Genomic DNA, 22758 nt, shown 5'->3' with positions numbered 1-22758 from the left:
TCATTGATCTTTTGTATTTTATGTTTGTTTGAATTTCATTTACTTCTGCTCTGATCTTTGTTATTCCTTTCCTTCGCTTGCTTTGAGTTAGGTTGTTCTTTCTTGCCTTGTTCCTTGAGGCATGACACTAGATTGTCAATTTGTGGTCAAACTTTCCTCTTAGCACTGCTTTTGCTGGATCCCAGAGGTTTTGGTAATCAGTATCATTATTATCATTCATTTCAAAGACTTAAAAAATTTTTCATCTTAATTTTTTTATCTCAAAAATCATTCAGAAACAAATTGTTTAATTTTCATATATGTGTAAAGTTTGAGGAGTTCCTTTTGAAGTTGATTTCCAGTTTTATTTCACTGTGGTCTGAAAATATACTTGATATGATTTTGATGTTTTTAATTTATTGAGACTTGTTTTGTGGTCAATTATATGGATTATATTGAAGAGTGCTCCAAGTGCTGGTGAGAAGAATGTATACTCTGCAGTTCTCAGGTAGAATGATCCATAAACATCTGTTAAGTTCATTTATTGTAGAGTGTAGTTTTAAGTACATTTTGTTGTTGTCATTGTTGTTGTTATTGTTGACTGTCTCAATCTGTCTACTGCTACCAGTGGATTATTGAAGTCTTCCACTACTATTTTGTTGCTATCTACCTCATTTTTTAGGTCTTGTAGTATTTTTTTACCTTTTATTTTAATTCCGGGGTACAAGTGCTAGTTTGTTACATAGGTAAACTTTTGTCATAGGGGATTGTTGTGCAGATTATTTTATCACCCAGGTATTAAGCCTAGTATCCATTAGTTATTTTTCTGATCTTCTCCCTCCTTCCACATTCCACCCTCTGAAAAACCCCGTTGTGTTTTTTTTCCCCTCTATGTGTCCACATGTTGTCATAGTTTAGCACTCACTTCGAAATGAGAACATGTGGCATTTGGTCTTCTGTTCCTGCATTTGTTTCCTAAGGATAATTGCCTCCAACTCCATCCATGTCCCTGCAAAGGACATGATCTCATTCTTTTATGGCTGAATAATATTCTATGGTGTCTATGTACCACATTATTTTTATACTGTTTATTACTGATGAGCATTTAAGTTTATTTCATGTCTTTGCTACTGTGAATAGTGCTACAATGAACATATGTGTGCATGTGTCTTTATAATAGAAAGATTTATACTCCTTTGAGTATATAGACAGTAATGAGATTGCTGGGTTGAATGGTATTTCTGTCTTTAGGTCTTTGAGGAATTGCCACACTGTCTTCCACAATGGTTGAACAAATTTACACTCCCAACAACACTGTATATGTATGCCAGCATTTGTTATGTTTTGACTTTTTAATAATTGCCATTGTGACTGGTGTGACATGCTATCTCATTTTGGTTTTGATTTGCATTTCACTAATAATCAGTGATGTTGAGCTTTTTTTCATGTGATTGCTGGCCACATGTATGTCTTCTCTTCCAAAGTATCTTTCATGTACTGTGCCCACTATTTTAATGAGGTTTTTCTTTGTAAATTTGTTTAACTTCCTTATAGATGCTGGATATTAGACCTTTGTGAGATGCATAGTTTGCAAAAATTTTCTACCTTTCTGTAGGTTGTCTGCTTACTCTGCTGATGGTTTATTTTGCTGTGCAGAAGCTCTTTAGTTTAATCAGATCCCATTTGTCAATTTTTGCTTTTCTTGCAATTGCTTTTGAAGACTTCGTTGTAAAATCTTTACCTGTGCCCATGTTTTGAATGGTACTGCCTAAGTTATCTTCCAGGATTTTTATAGATTTGGGTTTTTCATTTAAGTATTTAATCCATTTTGAGTTAATTTTTGTATATGGTGTAAGGAAGGGGTCCAGTTTTAATCTTCTGCATATGGCTAGCCAGTTATCCCAGCACCATTTATTGAATACAGAATCCCTTTCCCATTGCTCGTTTTTGTTAGGTTTGTCAAAGATCACATAGTTGTAAGTGTGCAATATTATTTCCAGGTTCTTTATTCTGTTCCATTGGTCTGTGTTTCTGTTTTTGTACCAGTCCCATGTTGTTTAGGTTACTGTAGCCCTGTAGTATAGTTTGAAGTTGGGTAGCGTGATGCCTCCAGCTTTGTTTTTTGTTTTTTGGGGATTTTTTGTTGGTTTGTTTAGGATTACCTTGGCTATTCTGGCTTTTTTGTAGTTCTATATGAATTTTTAAATGGTGTTTTCTAGTTCTGAGAAGAATGTCATGAGTTGTTTGATAGGAATATTGTTGAATTTATACATTGCTTTGGGCCGTATGTTCATTTTTACAATATTGATTCTTCCTATTCATAAGCATGGAATGTTTTTCCATTTATTTGTAGCATCTCTGACTTCAAGGAGCTGTGTTTTATAGTTCTACTTGTAGAGATCTTTCACCCCCCAAATTAGTTGTATTCCTAGGTGTTTTATTCTCTTTGTAACAATCGTAAATGGGAGTAGATTCCTGATTTGGATCTTGACTTGACTGTTGTTAATGTATAGGAATGCTAGTAATTTTTGCACAGTAATTTTGTATCTTGTGACTTTGCTGAAGTTGTTTATCAGCTTAAGAAGCTTTTGGGCTGAGTCTATGGGGTTTTCTACATATAGGATTATGTCATCTGCAAACAGGGATAGTTTCTTTCATTTGCCTGATTGCCCTGAGTAAGCCTTTCCAATACCATGTTTAATAGGAGTGATGAGAGGGCATCCTTGTCTTGTGCCTGTTTTCAAGGGAAATGCTTGAAGTTTTTGCCCATTCAGTATGATATTAGCTATGGGTTTGTCATACATGGCTCTTACAATTTTTAGGTATGTTTCTTCCATAACTACTTCATTGTAAGTTTTTAACATAAATCAATGTTGAATTTTGTTGAAAGCCTTTTTGGCATCTAGGGAAATAATCATGTGTTTTTTGTATTTAGTTCTGTTTATGTGCTAAATCACATAAATTGATTGGCATATGTTGAATAAATCTTCAATCCCAGGGATAAAGCCTACTTGATTGTGGTGAATAAGCATCTTGATGTGTTGATCGTTTCAGTTTGCTAGTATTTTGTTGAGAATTATTGTATCTATATTCATCAAGGATATTAGCCTGAAGTTTTCTTTTTGGTTGTATCTCTGCCAGGTTTTGATATCAGAATAATGCTGGCTTCATGGAATGACTTAGAGAGGAGTCCCTTCTCCTCATAGTTTTGGAATATTTACAGCCATAATGGTATCAGCTCTTCTTTATACTTCTGGCAAATTTCGGCTGTGAATTCATCTGGTCCTGGGCTTTTCTTTGGTTGGGAGGCTATTTATTACTGACTCAATTTTAGAGCTTGTTATTGGTCTTCTCAGGAATTCATTTTCTTACTGGTTCATTCCTGGGAGGGTGTATACATCCAGTAATTCATCTATTTTGTCTGTATTTTCTAGTTTATGCATATAGAGGTCTTCATAATATTCTTTGATGGTTGTATTTCTGTGAGGTCAGTGGTAATATGTCCCTTGTTATTTCTGATTGTGTTTATTTGAATCTTCTCTCTTTTTTGTTCTTTATTACTCTAACTAGCAGTCTATATATTTTATTTAAAAAAAACAGCACGTGGATTCATTGATCTTTGGAATTTCTGTGTGTCTCTGGCTCTTTCAGTTCAGCTCTGATTTCAGTTATTTCTTGTCTTCCACTAGCATTGAGATTTGTTTGCTCTTGGCTCTCTAGCTCTTTTAATTGTGATGTTAGGTTGTTAATGTGAAATCGTTCTAACTTTTTGATGTGGAGATTTAACACTATAAATTTCCCTCTCACCACTGCATTTGCTTTGTCCCAGAGATTTTGGTATGGTGTAGCTTGGTCTTCATCATTTCAAAGATTTCTGCCTTAATTTTATTATTTATCTAAAAGTTATTTAGGAGCAGGTTATTCAATTTCCATGTAATTGTAGGGATTTGAGTAAATTTCTTAGTCTTGATTTCTGATTTAATGGTGCTGTGGTCTAAAAGACTGTTTGTTAGGATTATAGCTCTTTTATATTTGCTGAGGAGTGTTTTAACTCCAATTATATGATAGATTGTAGAGTATGTTCTATGTGGCAATGAGAAGATTTTATATTCTGTTGTTTTTAGGTGGAAAGTTTCATAGTTACCTATAAGGTTCATTTGATCTAGTTTAGGTTCTGAATATCTTTATTAATATTCTGTCTTGATTATCTGTTTAATATTGTCACTGGGTTGTTAAAGTCTCCCACTATTACTGTGTGAGAGTCTAAGTCTCTTTGTAGGTCTCTAATAAATTGCTTTATGAATCTGAGTGTTCCTGTGTTTCAGTCCATACATATTTAGAATAGTTAACTCTTCTTGTTGAATTTAACCCTTTGTCACTATGCAATTCCCTTGTCTTTTTTTATTTTTGTTGATATAAAATCTATTTTGTCAGAAACTAGGATTACAAATTATGCTTTTTTTCTGTTTTCCATTTGCTTGGTAGATTTTTCTTTATTCCTTTATTTTGAGCCTCTCTGTGTCAGTGCATGTGAGATGGGTCTCTTGAAGAAATTGTACCAATGGGTCTTGGTTCTTTATCCGGATTGCCATTCTGAGTCTTTTAATTGGAGCATTTATTCCATCTACATTTAAAGTTAGTATTTATATGTGTTGATTTGATCCTGTCATAATGATGTTAACTGGTTATATTGCAGACTTGTTTATATGGTTGCTTTATAGTGTCAATGGTCTGTGTACTTCAGTGTGTTTTTTTAATGACTGATAATGGTCTTTCCTCCCCATATTTAGTGGTTCCTTCAAAAGCTGTTGTAAAGTCAGTCTGGGGGCACCAAATTTCCTCAGCATTTGCTTGTTCGAAAAGGATTTTATTTCTCCTTTGTTTATGAAGCTTTGTTCAGCCAAACATGAAATTCTGGGTTGGAATGTTGAATACTGTCCCCCAATCTCTTCTGGCTTCCAGTGTTTCAGCTGCGAGGTCTGCTGTTAGTCTGATGAGCTTCCTGTGTAGGTGACCTAACTATTATTTCTAGCTGTCTTTAACATTTTTTCTTTAATTTCACCCTTGGGGAATCTAATGATTATGTGTCTTGAGGATGATCTTTTTGTGAAGTATCTTACTTGGGTTCTCTGCATTTCCTGAATTTGAATGTTGGCCTTTCTAGCGAGTTTTGGAAAGTCCTCATGGATGATATCCTGACTATGTTTTCCAAGTTGGTTCCATTTTCCCCATCTTTTTCTGGGACACCAATCAGTTACAGATTATTTTCTTTTTACATAATTCTATATTCCTTGGAGGTCTTGTTCTTTCTTTTTATTTATTTTTTCCCTATTCTTGTTTGCCGATCTTATTTCAGAAATCCAGTCTTTGAACTCAGAGATTCTTTCCTCTGCTTGGTCTATTCTGCTATTAATTCTTGTGATTGCATTAAGAAATTCTTGTAGTGTGTTTTTTGGCTCTATCAGGTCAGTTATTTTCTTCTCTAGACTGGCTATTTTGTCTGTCAGATCTTGCATTGTTTTATTATGGTTTTTAGCTCCTTGTATTGGGTATCATTCCAGCCATCTCAGCCTCAGCCCAGTTCTGAACCCTTGCTAGAGAGATGATGCAGTCATTTGCAAGAAAGAGGGCACTCTAACTTTTTGAGTTTCCAACTTTCTTACACTTTTCTTTCTCATGTTTGTGGGTTTATTTACCTTCTATCTTTGAGATTGCTAACCTATGAATTTTTTCTCTTTTATGCTATTTGATGACCTTGAGGGTTTGATTGTGTCATAAGGTGGATTCAGCTAGCTGGGTTCATTTCCTGGAGGTTTTAGGGGGACCAAGGATCAGCTCTCAACTCCTGGACTTCGTGCTCGAAGTGGGGGACTTGTATCAGTTCCAGACATTGTTCTCTGTCTCCTTGAGTTATGGAGTCCACTGCACCAGAAGGTGCGGAGAGTGGAAGCACCTGCAGTAGAGTGCTAGTAAATGCAGGTGTGCCTGCCTCCCTGCAGGCATTCACCACAGTGGCAGATGCAAGAAAACTCTGGGGGATGCAGGGGGCTCCTGTTGGAGACTGTGTGCACCATTGCACTGAAGGTGGTGTTGGTTTGGGTTGGAGTGCTGGCTGGCACTGGTCTGGGTGTCCTTTCTGTGACCTGCAAGCAGTTGTGATTACTCAGGTTGTAAAAAGGTCCACTGTTCTCTGTGCAGTTTTAGCACAAGGGTGTGGTACATTCAGGGGCTGGGTTTGCTGGCTCTGTGCCCACCAAGGCTGTATCTGCGATGGTGATTAGTTGCGGGGGTGCTGGTGGTGGACTACACTTCTGCGTGCTGGAAAGACAAGTAAAGCAAAACCTTCCCATATAGACACACACCTGTGGGGAGATGCTGTGGGCTTTGGGGAAGCTGCAGTATCAGGAGGGAACATGTGGGCTCGTTCATGGATGTAGAAGCCACCTCGCTGGAGCTCTCTATTGATCAGGCACAATCCACTGTTGTAGAAGCTATGGTGTGTGCCCCCAGGTCACCCAAGACTTCCCTGTTAAGCAGGCATGGCCAGGCCGTGGCCCTGGGAGAGGCCAGCAGACCAAGGAGTGCTCAGATTGGGCCAGCCCCATCTTAGTGCAAGACTGCCCTGCAAAGACAAGGTCTGACAGTTCCCCTAGGACTAACATCTCTTATGGGAGCAAGACAAGCCTAGAGCAATGGCCATCTCTGATCATGCTCCACTAGAGATGCTACCACACCAAACCCTATAGGCTTCACATCATCTAGCTTGCTGCCCCACCACTTACATGAGCAGCCTTCCCTGCCACCTTAAGTGTCTGCTGTGGTCAATGGGTCCCCTTCTTTTGGGGTCCCAAAGTTCTGTTTTGAGAGTGGGTTGCTCCTTGCCAGGTAAACTCCTCCATTCTGCTGGAGTTGTTGTGGTTAAAAAATGAGTCTCTGTGCACAGTAACCAATGAGGGGTTCCCAGTTTTCTTCCCCTTCAGCCTAGCTTCTGTGTCTTTTCTCTGCCCACTCTCAGCACCTTCCCTCTAAATATCTTTTAAAAGCATGCCAGCAGTCTCAGTCCCTCCATGGGAGCTGTTCCACTTGTGTGCATCTAGTCAGCCATCTTGCTCTTCCCTAGTAATTGTTTTATGAATCTGGGTTCTTCAATGTTAGGTATATATATAATTAGAATTATAATGTCTTCTTGTTGGAATGATCCTTTTATCATTATATAATGACCCCCTTTGTCTTTTATTATTGCTGTTGCTTTAAAGTCTGTTTTATCTGATACAAGAATAGCTACTACTGCCTGTTTTTGGTTTTTATTTTTATTTCCATGGAATATCTTCCACCCCTTTATCTTGAGTTTATATGAATTCTTACATTTTAGGTATCTTGAAGACAGCAGATATTTGATTTTGTTTCTTTTATCCATTCTGCCAATCTATATTATTTAAGTGGAGCAATTGTCATATACATTATATTAATTATTACCTAGTGATATGGTTAGGTTTTGTGTTCCCACACATATCTCATCTTGAGTTATAATCCACATAATCCCCAAATGTCAGGGGAGATGCAAGGTGGAGGTAATTGAATCATGGGGCAGCTTCCCCCATTCTGTTCTTGTAATACCTAGTGAGTGCTCATGGAGATCTGATGGTTTTCTAAGGGGCTCTTCTCTTTTTTCTCTACACTTCTCCTTTCTTTTGCCTCGTAAAAAAAGGTGTCTTGCTTCCTCTTTTCTTTTTGTCTTGATTGTAAGTTTTCTGAATCCTCTCCAGCCAAGATGAACAGTGGTCAATTAAATCTATTTTCTTTATAAATTACCCAGTCGCAGGCAGTTGTTTATAGCAGTATTAACATGGACAAATACAATAAATTGATACTACAGGGAGTAGGGTGCTGCTATAGAAATACACAAAAATGTGGAAGCAACTTTGGAACTGAGTAACAGACAGAGAATGGAACAGCTTGGAGGGCTTAAAAAAAGACAGGAAGATGTGGAAGGTTTGGAACTTCCTAGAGTCTTGTTGAATGGTTTTGACCAGAATGCTGATAGTGATATGAGTAACGAAGTCCAGACTGAGGTGGTTTTGGGTGAAGAAGAGGTAACTCTTGCTGTGCTTTAGCAAAGAGACTGGTGGCATTTTGCTCCAGGCCTTGCTATCTGTGGAGCTTTGAACTTGATAGAAATAATCTGAAATAGGAACTTATGTTTAAAAGGGAAGCAGAGCATAAAAGATTGAAAAATTTGCAGCCTGACAATGCAGTCAAAAACAAAACACATTTTCTGGGAAGAAATTCAGGCCTGGCACATAAATATGCATACGTAAAAAGGAGCCAAGTGTTAATCACCAAGACGATGGGAAAATGTCTCCAGGACATGTGAGACACCTTCATTGCAGCCCCTCCCATCACAGGCCCAGAGATCTAGAAGGAAAAAATGGCATTCTGGGTCAGGTCCAGGGTCCCCATGTTGTGCGCAGCTTTGGGAATTGGTGCCCTGTGTCCCAGCCACTTCAGCTGTGGCTAAAAGGAGCCAAAGTACAGCTCAGGTTGTTGCTTCAGAGGGTGAAAGCCCCAAGCCTTGAGAGCTTTCACATGGTGTTGGACCTGTGGGTGTGCAGAGGTCAAGAAATGAGGTTAGGGAACCACTGCCTAGATTTCAGAGTGTGTATGGAAATGCCTGGATGTCCAGGAAGAAGTCTGGTGCAGAGGTGGAGTCCTCATGCAGAAACTCTGCTAGTGCATTGTAGAAGGGAAATGTGGGGCCAGAGCCCACACACAGAGTCCCCTCTAGGGCACTGCTTAGTGGAGCTGTGAGAAGAGGGCCACCATCCTCTAGACCCCAGAATGGTAGATCTACCAACAGCTTGCACCATGTGCCTGGAAAAGCCACAGACACTCAATGCCAGCCCATAAGAGAAGCAGGGATGGGGGCTGTACTCTGCAAAGCCACAGGGTCAGGGCTGCCCAAGATGGTAGGAGCCCACTTCTTGCATCAGTGTAACCTGGATATGAGACATGGAGTCAAAGAAGATCATTTCAGAGCTTTAATATTTGACTCCCCTGCTGGATTTTGGTCCATGGGGCCTGTAGCCCCTTTGTTTTGGCCAATTTCTCCCATTTGGAATGACTGCATTTATCCAATGCCTGTACCACTTAGACTTCCTAGTGACTAGGAAGTCACTAACTTTCTTTTGATTTTACAGGCTCATAGACAGAAGAGACTTGCCTTATCTTAGATGAGACTTTGGTCTTGGACTTTTGTGTTAATACTGGAATTAATGAAGACTTTGGGAAGGCATGATTGGTTTTGAAACATGAAAGGGCATGAGATTTGGGAGGGGCCAGGGGCAGAATTATATGGTTAGGCTTTGTGTCCCCACCCAAATCTCATTTGAATTATAATCCCCATAATCCCCAAATGTCAAGGTAGAGACCAGGTGGAAGTAACTGCTCATTGGGGCAGTTTCCCTCATGCTGTTCTCATGATAGTGAGTTCCCATGAGATCTGATGGTTTTATAAGGGGCCCTTCCCCCTTCACTCAGCACTTCTTCCTACCACCTTGTGAAGATGGTGCCTTGCTCCCTCTTCAACTTCGCCATGATTGTAAATTTACCATGGCTTCCCCAGCTGTGCTGAACTGTGAGTCAATTAAATTTCTCTCCCTTATAAATTGCCCAGTCTTGGGCAGTTCTTTATAGCAGTATGAAATCAGACTAATCACCTAGATACTTGGCTTTTTGTTGTTTTGTTATTGTTTTATAGGCTTTTTCAGTTTTATGCTTTCAAGAGGTTTTATTTTGGTACATATCAAGTTTTGTTTCAAGGTTTTGGACTTCTTTTAACATTTCTTGTACAACTGGCCTGATAGTAACAAATTTCCTCAGCATTTGTTTGACTGGAAATGATTTTATTTCTCCTTCATTTAAGAAACTTTGTTTTGCTGGATACAAGATTATTGGCTGACAGTTATTCTGTTTAAGGAAGCTAAAGATAGGACCCTATTTCCTTCTGGCTTATAAAGTTTCTGTTGAGAAGTCTCCTGTTAGTATGATGGGTTTTCCTTTATAGGTTACCTGATGCTTTTGTTTTACTGCTCTTGGAGTTCTTTCTTTCATATTGATTTTAGATAGCTTAATGAATATATGCCTTGGTGATGACTTTTTGCAATAAATCTCCCAGGAGTTCTTTGAGCTTCTTCTGTTTGAATATCAGTCTCCAGCAAGGCCATGGAAGAGTTTCTCAATTATTACCTCAAAAATGTTTTTCACACTTTTAGCTTTCCCTTCTCCCTTAGGAACACCAATTATTCTTTGGTTTGGTCATTTTAGATGATTCTGTAATTATGGAGACTTTGTTTATTTCCTTTGATTCTTATTTCTTTTGTTTTTCTCTGATTGCATTAATTTGTAAGCCTTGTCTTCAAGCTCTGAAAGTCATTCTTCTACTTGTTCTAGTCTATTGTTGAAACTTCTTTCCACTGTATTTTTTAATTCCCTGAATATGTCTTACATTTCCAGAACTTCTGATTGATATTCCTTAAGATATCATTCTCTTTAGAAATCTTGTTATTCACGCCTGAATTATTTTTTGTTTGCTTGTTTTACTTTCTTTATGTTGGTTTTTACCTTTCTATGGTGTCTTGTTGAGTAGCTTAATAATCAACCTTTGGGGATTCTTTATCTGGTATTTCAAATATTTCATCTTGATTTGAATCCATTGCCAGAGGGCTAGTGTGATTTTTGGAGGGTGTTATAGAATCCTCTTTTGTCATATTACCAGAATTACTTTTCTGGTTCCTTCTGATTTGGGTAGAATATTTCTTCTATTTTTTCTTAATTTTATTTCTTATTTCACTGTGTTTATTTCAAAATTGCCCTTTTTCCCCTTAAGCATATGACTTTAATGTTTATAGTTTATTGTAGTATAATTAAGCTCTTAATGCTTTCAGGATGATGGTTTTATATGAGTTCCATGGTTACAGAGAGTCTTTATATGATTGCTTTCTCAGATGCTGGTTGTAGTGGAAACATGCTTGATGTGTGAGAAGTTCAGTCTCCTATAGAGTTGGAATGGCAGAGATCTCTTGAAACTCATTCCCTATGGTTTGCACTTTTATTTATTTATTTTTCCCCACTATTTTATTTACTAGGTTGAATATTTTATTTACTGGGTTGAATATTCCCAAGTAATTTATTTACTGAGCCAGACTACAGTGAATGCTGTCGCTTTATTTATTTATTTATTTATTTATTTATTTATTTATTTATTTTTCCCAGTATTTTATTTACTGGGTTGAATCACTCAGGTTTCTGGCCTGTATGGGAGGCGTCCTTAGCTAAAAACTGTCTATGACTAAAGCAGGTTGGTGAATGCAATACCCAATGGTGGGCAGGGGTCCTAGCCTTGACAGAGATGGCTGGGGGAGCTCTCAGTGAGTCACACTGAGTTCTTGTCAGAGGAAAGGACTGGAGCCATCTCAACTCCCCTGCCAGGACAGCAGGAAAGCAATCCACCTCCCACACATACTCTTGACCCAGTGTTCTGGGTATTCAGATCAGACAGGCATCTCTTTTATTATGCAGGAATGTTGATGCTCCAAGTAGAGACGAATGGTGACTGTACATCTCCTGCAAGCTTGCACCTGGAGGGTGCCCCTCCTATGTGGATCACCCTGAAGTGTTTCAGAAAAGCTGTCTATATGTGCACCCATGCCACTCTCCTGAGAGAAAAGCCCCAGCTATGTCTTCAGTGGTGGAAAAGGGGGGAAATATTTCCTCTTCTCCAAGATGCTTCATGAGCACCAGGGCTTCCTGACTGTTGGAGTAGAACTGCAGACTTTCCCTGCTGAGCCCATTACTGCAACTGTGCCTCTGCTGAAAAAAACATTCCACAAGTGGAAAAATCTGGGACTGAAGGCCTGCTATCCAGATACTTTTGTGCCGTAGTGTTCCCTTTACGTGACGTACTACCCCTTGCCCTAGTAGTAGGAGTCCCTGAGAGCCAGAATGTGAATGTTGTTGCTCTTCTGGGCCTAGCTGCCTAATGGGTCTGCCACACTCTAGGCTGGTGCTGGGAAATGTCTGCAAGGGATTCAGAGATGTGACCTGTCCTCAAGTCTCCCAGTATCAAGTACCAGCACCAGTTCTGATGCAGGCGGCAGGGGAGTAATGTAGACTCGTTGAGATTCTTTGGCTATGGATAGTGTTAGTGTGTTGGCTTTCTCAAATGCCAGTTGCAGCAAAAATAAACTGGTCACGTAGATAGTATCAGGACTTCCTGGTTAGTCATGTTGGTGCAGGCAATGGTGATAGCTGATATCATGTACAAATTTTCTCCTTCCGGGGTGCAGTGTTATCTACCTGAAAGTGCTGTAATGGACTGTGTTGGTTGGCCTCCAGCTAGGAGGTCGTGTTTGCAAAGGAGCATCAGCTGCAGTAGTAGTGTTGAGATTTGTGTTTGCCTTATGTTACCCAAAGGAGGCACTCTGGTTTCTCAGGTGATGGGTGGGGACATAAAGCTCCCAAAAGTTCCTGTCTTTTGTGTTAGGCTATCAGTGTGGGTAGAGGGGCAAAATCAGGTGTGGGCTGGGTCAGAGAGATCCATGCTCTGACTCTCCATATGTGGGGCAATCTGCAGCCACTGTGGGAGTTGAGGGACAGTTACCTCACCACTGATGTAATGTACCAGAGTGGAGAAAAGCTGCCTCTACTGCACAGAATAGTTTGTGCAAGAAGTGGGGCACAGCAGGCATCAGTAAGCCCCACCCAGATCCCATGCACTTGGCAAGGTAGTTCTCACACCTGTAGATTTCTGCTAACAGCAGTGAGCTAAATTCCAGGACGTCTATATTCAGAACTAAGACTGCCGCAGACCAGAAGCCTCCCTGGGAAATAGCTATTTCACAAAATTCAGGTAGGAGCTTCTTTCAACTTGCAAATGTTGCCTGAGTTAATTGGGTGACTTCCACAAGGTCCCACACAAGGCTCTTCCCATTCCTCACTGCTCCCTAAATCAGTACCAGCTCTGTGTAGCGTTCAGGCTTTTCCTGAGGGCTGGATTTCCAGGTTTCCTGGTGGGAGGGTATATCCCGAAGCACTCTCTTTCCCTCTCACATTCTGGGAAGTTAAAACAGTTTTTTGCCTACCTTACAATGTAGGCTGCAGCATGCAGCTTCTTTCAGAGAATTGGTGGATTTCCGTTTTCCTGTTAAGTTTCTGCATTTCTTCTTGGAAATAGAGTTCACAGTGTGAATGACTATACACTATTTTGTCTTTCCAAGTGGGAGAGTCTTGCTAACACTGACTCCAATTTGCTATCATCTTGGAAAAACAAAATAAAATACAATAAAATAATAACAATAACAAAAACATATGTAAACTTGCATTGTGATTAGGATGATCAATTTACATGATAACTGTAAGAGAAACAATTATACATAAAACTATTATATATAATTGCTCAGCAGCTTGTGGGAATGAATGCCTTTTATAAGAAATTTTATCCATTCAGAATATTTGTGCCATTTTAAATATGAACTGATGCATGTAAGTATTGATAATATAGGGAAATCTATTTAAAATGATGATATAAATGCTTCATGGTGATTTAAATTTTTACATGTATATGTAACTGAATGGGGGAAATTTTGCCATTTCTATTATAATCCAATGTTTTTACTGATTTCTTAAAAAACGAATGTCTCAGAAATAGCACACTAAAATATATTTCTGATATTAGTACTTTCTAAAACAGAACAGAAAATTTTTCAAAGCACATTATATATCTATATGCGCAATCAGAATTTGAATTTGTTAAAAGTAATTAGGTTGGTATAATTTCCTTTGAAAACCTAGTGTTTTTCTATTTGAAAGAAACAAACAAGTTTAAAAAGTTGAAAAGCTCTTTCCATAAAATCAAAGAAACAAACAGAAGACCCTGTCTAAACGTTGAAATACAACAGGGGTAACATTCTCTGGAGTGAGACCTGCTTTATTGTTGCCATTGAGATTGTGCTCAGAAGGATTTGGTTGGAGATGGAATTTACATCTAGAAATTGTGCCTGCTGATAATCTTGAATAATTTTATTGGCTTGCTTCTCTTCGGAAAGATAAGTCCTCCAGTTGGCTACTTATGACATAGCTAAATTTGAACTTTTCCAGAGAATCTCTTTAATAAAGACATGAACTAATTACTGTGGAAATTAGGCTGAAGTAAAAATTCTACATGTGTAATGAAAAAGGATTTAGTAATTATTTTTATCCTCACGTTTAATAACATATCAGGGCAGAGTATTATGAATCTCAATGTTACAGTATGATGTGTCATAGAAAATAACTTTTTAAAAATTATGATGTTTAAAAAAAATTCTATCAGTGATAGCTTCTTTTCCTGATCTGACACTGTATATTAAAAAAAAAAATCTATGACTGCCTCTGATTAAGATGAAAGTATACTTTATACTTGTATCTCTTTGGACAGTGAAAAGCAAAGTATTGCTCTGCAAGGTGTCTGGGATTCAAAACTATGCCACAAAATTGATCAACCAAAAAATAAAAAATGCAATTGTTTTCAACATTAACATAAGGATTATATTGTTAGAATCATTAGCAAAATTTTGAAACAATTTAATTTAGTTGCATTTAATAAACCAGGGTATGGATGTGTACGTCTCAGTGGTCTTAACCTTTCTACATACCCAATAACGTACAGGTTTGTTGCAAAACATTCATTACTTTTTCATTGAAATTCAGACTGCCTCCATGTCTAATGTAGGATATTTGTCAGTCTGGCCTAGAAAGGCAGTATATAAAGTAGAAAACATGATCTAACCAGATATTTTGAAAAAATAAGACAAATATATCAAAGTCAGATCATTCAGTCATGAAATAAGTATCTTTGTTCAAATAGATCATGAAATTAATCTACATGACTTGATTTTCACACCAAAAAAAGGCAATTTGGGAAAATAAGCTCAAGTATAATAGTTATAAGATGAGTGACTCTGAGTTATTAATTTGTATTAAGCCCGGGGCTCTGGAAATTATTGTATTTAGACTATTTTGTGATGATATTAACTTTTGTCCTGTTTAGTTTTCTGCAAGGAAGGTGGAGCATCAACAGCAAAACACAGAGAAAGAAGCTTCCCTTTCTAAAATCCGTGGTGTCTCTCTTTCTAAAATATAGTATATAATTCTTTTTCATTTTTACTCTTGTTTCCTCAATAAGATAAGCATATTAGAGCTGAAAAGCCTTCCAGAAGAGCAATAAAAAAGGATGAAGTATTGGCTGGGTGCGGTGGCTCATGCCAGTAATCCTAGCATTTTGAGAGGCCAAGGCTGGCAGATCGCATGAGCCCAGGAGTTTGAGAACCGCCTGGGCAACATAGTGAAACCCCATCTCTATGAATAAATACAAAAAATTAGCCAGGTGTGGTGGCGCATGCCCCTAGTCCTAGCTACTTTGAAGGCTGAGGTGAGAAAATCACTTGATCCTGGGTGGCAGAGACTCCTATTCTGAAGTAACTAATTTTAAGACAAATGAGAAGGATGAAATTGCTGGCAATAATTTGTCATGAATAGACTAACTGATTTTCCCCAAAGAGTGAAACAGGATGAAAGTACCAATAAATTTCAACAGAAAATTCACAAATGGTAAATATACAGTAAATTGTTAAGAAAACCTAATTTATAAGATAAAAACTTTTATTCTTATAAAAAATGAAATATCATTGTTAATTTATTTTCAAAATTTAGAAAAGCATATTGAAATAAAATATCAATATGACTTGATTTTGACACCAAAAAAGGCAATTGAGGATAATAAGCTCAAGTATAATTAGTTATAACATGATTGAGTTATTAATTCGTATCAAGCCCAGGGCTCTGAAAATTATGGTATCTAGACTATTTTGTGATGATATTAACTTTTGTCCTGTTTGTCATTCTCCAAAAAAACACATTATGAATGTTTTCTGCTGTGTTCTTCTATTTTATTTATTTTACACTTTGTTTCATTTATCAAGCAAATATTTATTGAGTGTTTACCATGTGCCAGACATTAAGATACAATGTTGAGCAAAAACAGTTTGATTCCTACTCTCAGGGAACTTGTAGGTTAAAGGCAGTGACTGGTATTAATCAAATAATTAAAGCAACAAATTAATGAGCTTCAACTAGGCTGAACATAGGAAAACCAGGCACAAGTCTATTGCTATAACCCTAGTAAGAAAAAGGCTTAGTTTGTGTTGGTAGTAGACATGGAGAGAGGTGGAAGAATTTGTGAGCTTTGTGGTCAGTAATATTTCTTTGCATAGTCCATTAACTATGGGTGTATAATGCATTAAGAACTGGGATTATTGGTATTATAATTATACATATATTATACAATGGTTTAAGATTTTAAGGAAATTTCCCCCTTCTTGAAGCTTTGTGTAATTACCCTAATGTAGCCAGGCCTACAGTAATAAGAGTGTTTTAAAATATATGTAGCATAAAAATCATAATTCCCTGTGAATTTATATACCTAGTAATAACCTAATTTTTAAATTATCATCACTAATTTAGAAAGTGTTTCATAAAGTTACTCTCCCAAATGTGTCTTGGTGTGCCTAGTTGCAAGACATCATCAATTTGAAAAATTTGGCAATTAGAAATCAAGATTAATAATTAACAAACATATTATATAACATTCCCAATTCACAGTGCATTCTAACTTGTGAAATATTTCATAAAATGAATAATATTTTTGAGTTAAAAAACCCCAACACTTTTGTTATGAAATATCTCTTTCCTCTTCATTCTTGTTTCTTTGAAATGAAACAGCAAATAATAGTTTTCAAGATAATTTTTCACTAAAAATCAAACATTTCCTGACATTTTATATGACCTTTATCAAAAAAAATATAACCCAGAAATCACTGAAAAGTGCAATATGTATATATTACAAAGATGTATTTTAGCCAAAATGTTACCACAATAAAAGGCATTGCTGTTTGAACTTTGAATTTTCAAACTTTTTTCAATAAACTTGAGAGACAAATATATTAAAGAGATTAAAATTCTTGGAGTACTTTACAAATATTATTTATCTATAGTGTTCTCATTTCAACATGGATCTAGTTAATTTTACTATTCTCAGAGTGATTTTAGAAAATGACAGCAATTTTTTTCTCATTTTGATATTATATGAAAAATGTTTCTTAAAATATATCTGGCAAAAATTATTAATTATGTCATTTATCTTATAGTTAATTTGATGAACAATGTCATTAGATTTTCCACCACAAAAAAAAATTCATCCTAGGTATTAAAGTATTTTTTATTGTTGTTTTATATATTTTTTGAGATAGGGTGTCTCTCTTTCACCTATGCTGGAGTGCAGTGTTGTAATAATGGCAATCAAATGATCCTTCTGTTCAGTCTCCTGAGTAGTTGGCAGTACAAACATGTGTCACACTATGCCCAGCTAATAATTAAAAAAATTGTAAAGACTGTGTCTCACTATGTTGCTCAAGCTGGTAAAGTATCTTTTGAAATAGAGTCTATACAAGGTCAATTGTTACATAGTATTTGATTTATCCTGTCCTTCTCTACCCAAAATACAAGCATATTTTAATTTCTGAATTGTATATAAGGCAACAGAGATAGTGTTATGATAAACCAAGGTAGGAACTGACATTTGCCTCCCTCAAGAGAAGTTTAAATTATAAATCAGTATTTTATCACTGGCATATAGTTTGATCACAGGATAAAAGTGAACAATGAATGTGTTTTCTGGCCATTAAAAACCCATCACATACTAAAATTTGTTTAGTGAGAAAAAGTGTAATTCAATAAAACATTAATTTGAAAATAAGAGGTCTTAATCAAAGAACTAGTTATTAAAGATGTTTTAAGGAATGACGTCAAGGAATATTTTCAAACTGGTTAATGTAGTGGGTATAGAAGTTTACACATTCCACTGGCAATAGCTATCATTGTTATTGCAATGTTCCATACTATGCAATGCTAATGCAGTGTTCCATACTATGGGATTTACCTGGTTGAGGAATTTGGGATTTAAGTCTATTTGATGTGGAGTGTCTGAGGAGGGGTTTTGTTCTTGACATAATAATAAGTAAGGGTGGCTTTGATGTAGGGCTAATAAATAAATGATTCCCCCTAGTTTGTGTAGGATGTTCCTTCCTAGTAAAGGAGTGGGACAATGGGGAATGACCAAGAGTGAGTGAAGGTGACTACCTCAAATGAGCAGTATAGTGGTGGTGTTTTGTATGGGGTTACTTGTATGTCCTTCATGCCAACAACAGAAACAGATGAATGTCCTAATGGGCCTTGATTTTCAGTTAATACTGATAGACTCGCCCCAGTATCCAAAAAGAAGGAAATAATCTTACCAGATACCATCCCAGTTACCCTGGGTTCCGTGGACTCACTGGATGTGGGGGTGAAGGATCCCGGGCACCCTCAGTCTTCCATTGTCAGTGCCAGCAGTGAAGAGATTTCCTCCTGTAATGGTGAGGGGGCCTCATTATGAGCCTCACCCAAACAGGAGGGTGTCCTCTCTGGTTGGGGGGAGGTTATCTTAGGGTTGGAATGTTTCTGGTTGGAGATGTAATTTGTGGTTTATGGTCATGCTGACCTCAGCTATTAGGCTGATGCCCTTTGGATTTAGGCAGTTTTTGATCAAGGGGAACTTTAAAATGGTGGTGCTTGTACAAGATGGCAATGCTCCTGCTCTGTCAAACATAATTTTAACAGCTGAAATAAAAGGGAATAGAAGGCTGAGTGCAGTGGCTTACACCTGTAATCTCAGCAATTTGGGAGGCCAAGGAAGGAGAATCGCTTGAACCCAAGACTTTGAAACCAGCCTGGGAAACATAGTAAGACCTCATCTCTATAAAAATTTAAAAAAAAATAGCATGGCATGGTGGTGCATACCTGTGGTCCCAGCTACTTGGGAGTCTGAGGTGGGAAGACAACTTGAACCTGGAAGGTGAAAGCTGCAGTGAGCTGTGAATATGCCACTGAACTCCAGCCTGGGTGATGGAGCAAGACCCTGTCTCTAAGAAAACAGACAAAAAAACAAACAAATTAAATACAAAAAGAGGACCTTAATGATATAGATAATAAAATTACACAAAGACAACTTTCCAATTGTTAATGAGTCAATTTTTTAAAATATGCCCATATAGAAGGAATATTTTATAGTAGCCCATTTTAAGACATGATAAATTGAACACTAAATGCACATGCTTCGTAAACAGACTTGATTATGAGTCCTGATGCCATGTTTGTCTTAAATGAAATTAGAAACCTGTGGTGAGGTATTTTAAATCTTATATATGTGATGATACTCCCTTGAGGAAAAAAAAATATTGCAGATACTTCAGAGTTGAGAATGAGAGGCAAGGGTGCCCCAGTGAAGACATGACTTCCTTTTCTCTGCTCTAGATTTTTAATGCTATACTTTCTTAGATGGAATCTCCTTTGCAGACTGAAATAGATGCTAGGTTGTTAGAATAAATGCATAGGTACTCAGAAACCTGGTACAGTGGTGGCATTAATGATTTTTGAATATGGACCATTCTTTGCCTTCAATTACCTCTCCTATTTAGTCTGATAAATTAAGATTATCATATTCTCTTTTGGAGTAAATTTCTAAGTTACTCACAGGTACCTATTGACACATATTTGTGTTACTTCAATGAGAGAGTACATTTATTCATTGACAATCATAAACCTACAACCTAGATTGATTTATCAAATCACAATATTCAACAAAGAACCATGTCCTGAGGAAAAGAGGATCAAGACAAGTGGTAAAAAAGAAAAACCAAAGAAAAGCCATTAGCTCAAGCCGTCATTGAAACCTTTTGAATTGACGACAGCTCAAGATGACTGTTCTGGGTGGAGCAAGATCATTAAAAATTCATAAACTTGATCAAAAAAGGTTAGAGTTGAGTTTAAATTTGAGAATTGGTCATTGACCAAATTCATGGAAAGTATGGGAAAACTGAGGCTATGGTAATAATAGCACAGGCAGGAGGAACAATGAGACTAGGCTTTTAGTTTTAGAAGCCATGAGTTGGTCAATTGGATTTGACAAGAGGGATGGGGAAGACACTTGGAACTCCATGAAAAACTTTTAGTCCTGCCATATTTTCACAAAGGCAAGTTTGGATAGCTAAGAAGAAAATACAAGTGAAACTTAAATGGACTACTGTGGGAAGGTAGGTCTGCAAAGAGTGAAATGTGGCCTCTGCAAACTTAGAGGTCAGCACAAGAATACTGGATTTCTGGGTTGAGGGCTCTACAGAAAGAATGCTGAGAAAGACAGTAAAAGCAAACAGAAACAGAAACAGACACAGACCAAATACATATTTTATTCTGAGTATCTTTCTCCGTTTAAACAGATTTCTCTTTTATCTCTCTTCCTATTATCTGCTTTAAAAAAGCTCTAGATGAGGCTGAGACTAAAACATCTGGGTTAATTCCAGAGAAGGAGCTCAGATGTAGGCTTTGAATGTATTCAAACTAGAGCCACAGTTAGATTTTTAGAATAGCTTTTTGGAAAAGACAATGTGCATTTAGGTTTGTGCTTTGCTGCAATCTCCTATAACATGTTTCAATTAGTCGGTCAAAGATTTTTACCACAAATGTTAGTACTAGACACTGTAGAGTTAACAAAGAATTGACTCTGAAGGAAGGAAAAGATAAGACCTCTAATCTGGCCTTTCTATATCTCCAAATACCTTAGAGATTTTTGGACTTCAGCCTTCTGTTATATGTATTGCTACCAAATCTCAGCAGAATTTTTTTTCTTCAGTACTTTAAGGTTAAAGCCTGCAGCAACTTTTATTCAGTTGTCACCTTTGACCTGTTTCTTAGTGTCCTCCTTTTTTCATCCATCACTGATTCCTGGAGTGTTTTCTGAATAAGAGGAAGAGCCCCAGGAATACACACTGTCAGGATATTAGGCTATGTATAGTATCCTTTTCTATATCCCTCTTACATGTTTAACATATAATACAGAGGGCTAGATGAGTTCACTGAGGCATTCCTGTGATTCACAACAGCAGGCACAATTCACAGGCTCTGTCTGAAGTCTCTGGGCTTGGAAACGATCATTTGGACAGGTTTTCCTGAAGATAATTGAAAGTAAATACATTTATTACTAAACCTCCTTGATTCACTTAATTATGCACTAATGATGTGAAATGGCCTTTTAAAGAGGGTTGGGGATCCCTTTTGCAGTGTTGTAGCTTATTGTGCAATTTAGCTCCTCACTCAGAACTAGCATCTTTCTCTTTGGGATCGTCTGTATTCACTACAAAATCTGAGTGTGTTAAACAGATTATTACACCTACTAAAAACTTTTCTGAATGTGGACTAGAAGAAAATATAAATAATGAGTTCATTATAACAACCTTAATGGAGCTATTTTAAGGTCAGGGAGCAGACACCCAAGCAAAGTTCACTGATTTATAAATCTTCCGAATTTAAGTAACGTATTTCCACCCAAATAAATGTCTTACGTTGACCTAGTAGCTGTTAAATCTATTGTTGTTAATAAATTCTGTAATATACAAATTACCTCCCAATGTGCTTCATACTCCCATGGAATATAAGATATAATTAACCTTGTATGTTCACTTTAATGGTAATGTAGTATCAAGATAGATTTGATGATAGCTTTAATAATATCATATTATGGACAAACAATATATTTGCGTTTATTGTAAGTTACAGAATATATATTAATCAGAGTTAGACTATGTAATAGGTCTATTTTTCCACTAAATATATCCATGTTTTCAAGTACACGTTATACTATACTATACAAAAACATCCTCACAATCTATCTTTAATAAATCATTCATGAAATTGGAAGGATAACATGACTAGGTAATGACAGGACAGTTGGTCAATGTAAAGCATGGATTTGGGCCAGAAAATCTAAACAGCTATTCTTTGCAAAGAAAGACCACAGGGAAGCTGTAATACACCTAAAGATAAAAACAGTGAGATGAGGAAGCAATGTCAGCTCTCCATTTTCTTTACACTCTTGCTATGCCCAGCCAGTCATAGCATGAGTAGAATGCTTACCAAAACCATCTAAAGAAGCTTCCAAAAATAGGATTTACCTATGATCTGGGCCAGACTCAGGCAGTTGGTTGGACGCTTTGGCTTACTTGAGTCCTCAGATTCTTGGCCTTCTCAGAACTCTATGCACAAGGTTACTATAGCAATAAGAAACACCTTTATTCTCTCACCATCAAATCCACGAACCTATGAACATCTGTATTTTTCTACTCTCTAGCATTCTTTCTTCATATGTCTTTGAGATGTGAAGCTTTTTGGATGATGGTAACCTTGCACGTCTTCCTTTCTCATTCCCGTAACAGAGTTGCAGCAAATATCTAGCTCAAAATAATGACTTCTCCATCCCCTACCAGGTTGAGAATATAAAATTTAGTTTACATCTCAGCTTGACACCACTGTGTTACAATCTCCAGCTCAATATCAACATGACAAATAAACCTAAGAATGGTGAAACAGGGAAGAGACATGATATGAAATTCAATACATTATTGTCCAAATACAAACCCTACCACTTGCTAGCCACTCGCTAGCTCTATGGCCTTGGGAAAATCCCTTCACTTCTTTCAGGCCTAGTTTTCTTATCTATAAACTGGACATCATAAAATCTAAGTTTTTTTTCAAGTATAACATTCTCTAACTTTTTAAACTACCTTAGTTGGAAATCTGAATATAATTGATAGATAA

At 37.1% G+C, this 22758-nt stretch overlaps 1 long non-coding RNA gene across 3 annotated transcripts in view; it reads right to left on the bottom strand.

The window, feature by feature from the left end:
- LOC105377227 (uncharacterized) overlaps positions 1 to 22211 on the bottom strand; it is a 34908-nt gene extending 12697 nt beyond the window's left edge. Inside the window, exons 1-3 of one of the 3 annotated variants that reach the window (XR_001756053.2) lie at positions 18910 to 22211; positions 18366 to 18477; positions 13119 to 13293 (exon numbers count right to left, since the gene is read on the bottom strand). This is a non-coding gene — a long non-coding RNA (uncharacterized LOC105377227). Of the gene's footprint in view, positions 1 to 11199; positions 13294 to 18365; positions 18478 to 18909 lie in introns of those variants that run through there. The other 2 variants (XR_938641.3, XR_001756054.2) reach the window with 2 other exon arrangements.
- Between the last annotated feature and the right edge of the window lie 547 nt (positions 22212 to 22758).

This window comes from Homo sapiens, chromosome Y, assembly GCF_000001405.40.
Source record: "Homo sapiens chromosome Y, GRCh38.p14 Primary Assembly".
Taxonomy (NCBI): domain Eukaryota; kingdom Metazoa; phylum Chordata; class Mammalia; order Primates; family Hominidae; genus Homo; species Homo sapiens.
Note: the sequence above shows the minus strand (reverse complement) of the source record. Positions and strands in the feature narration are given on the sequence as shown.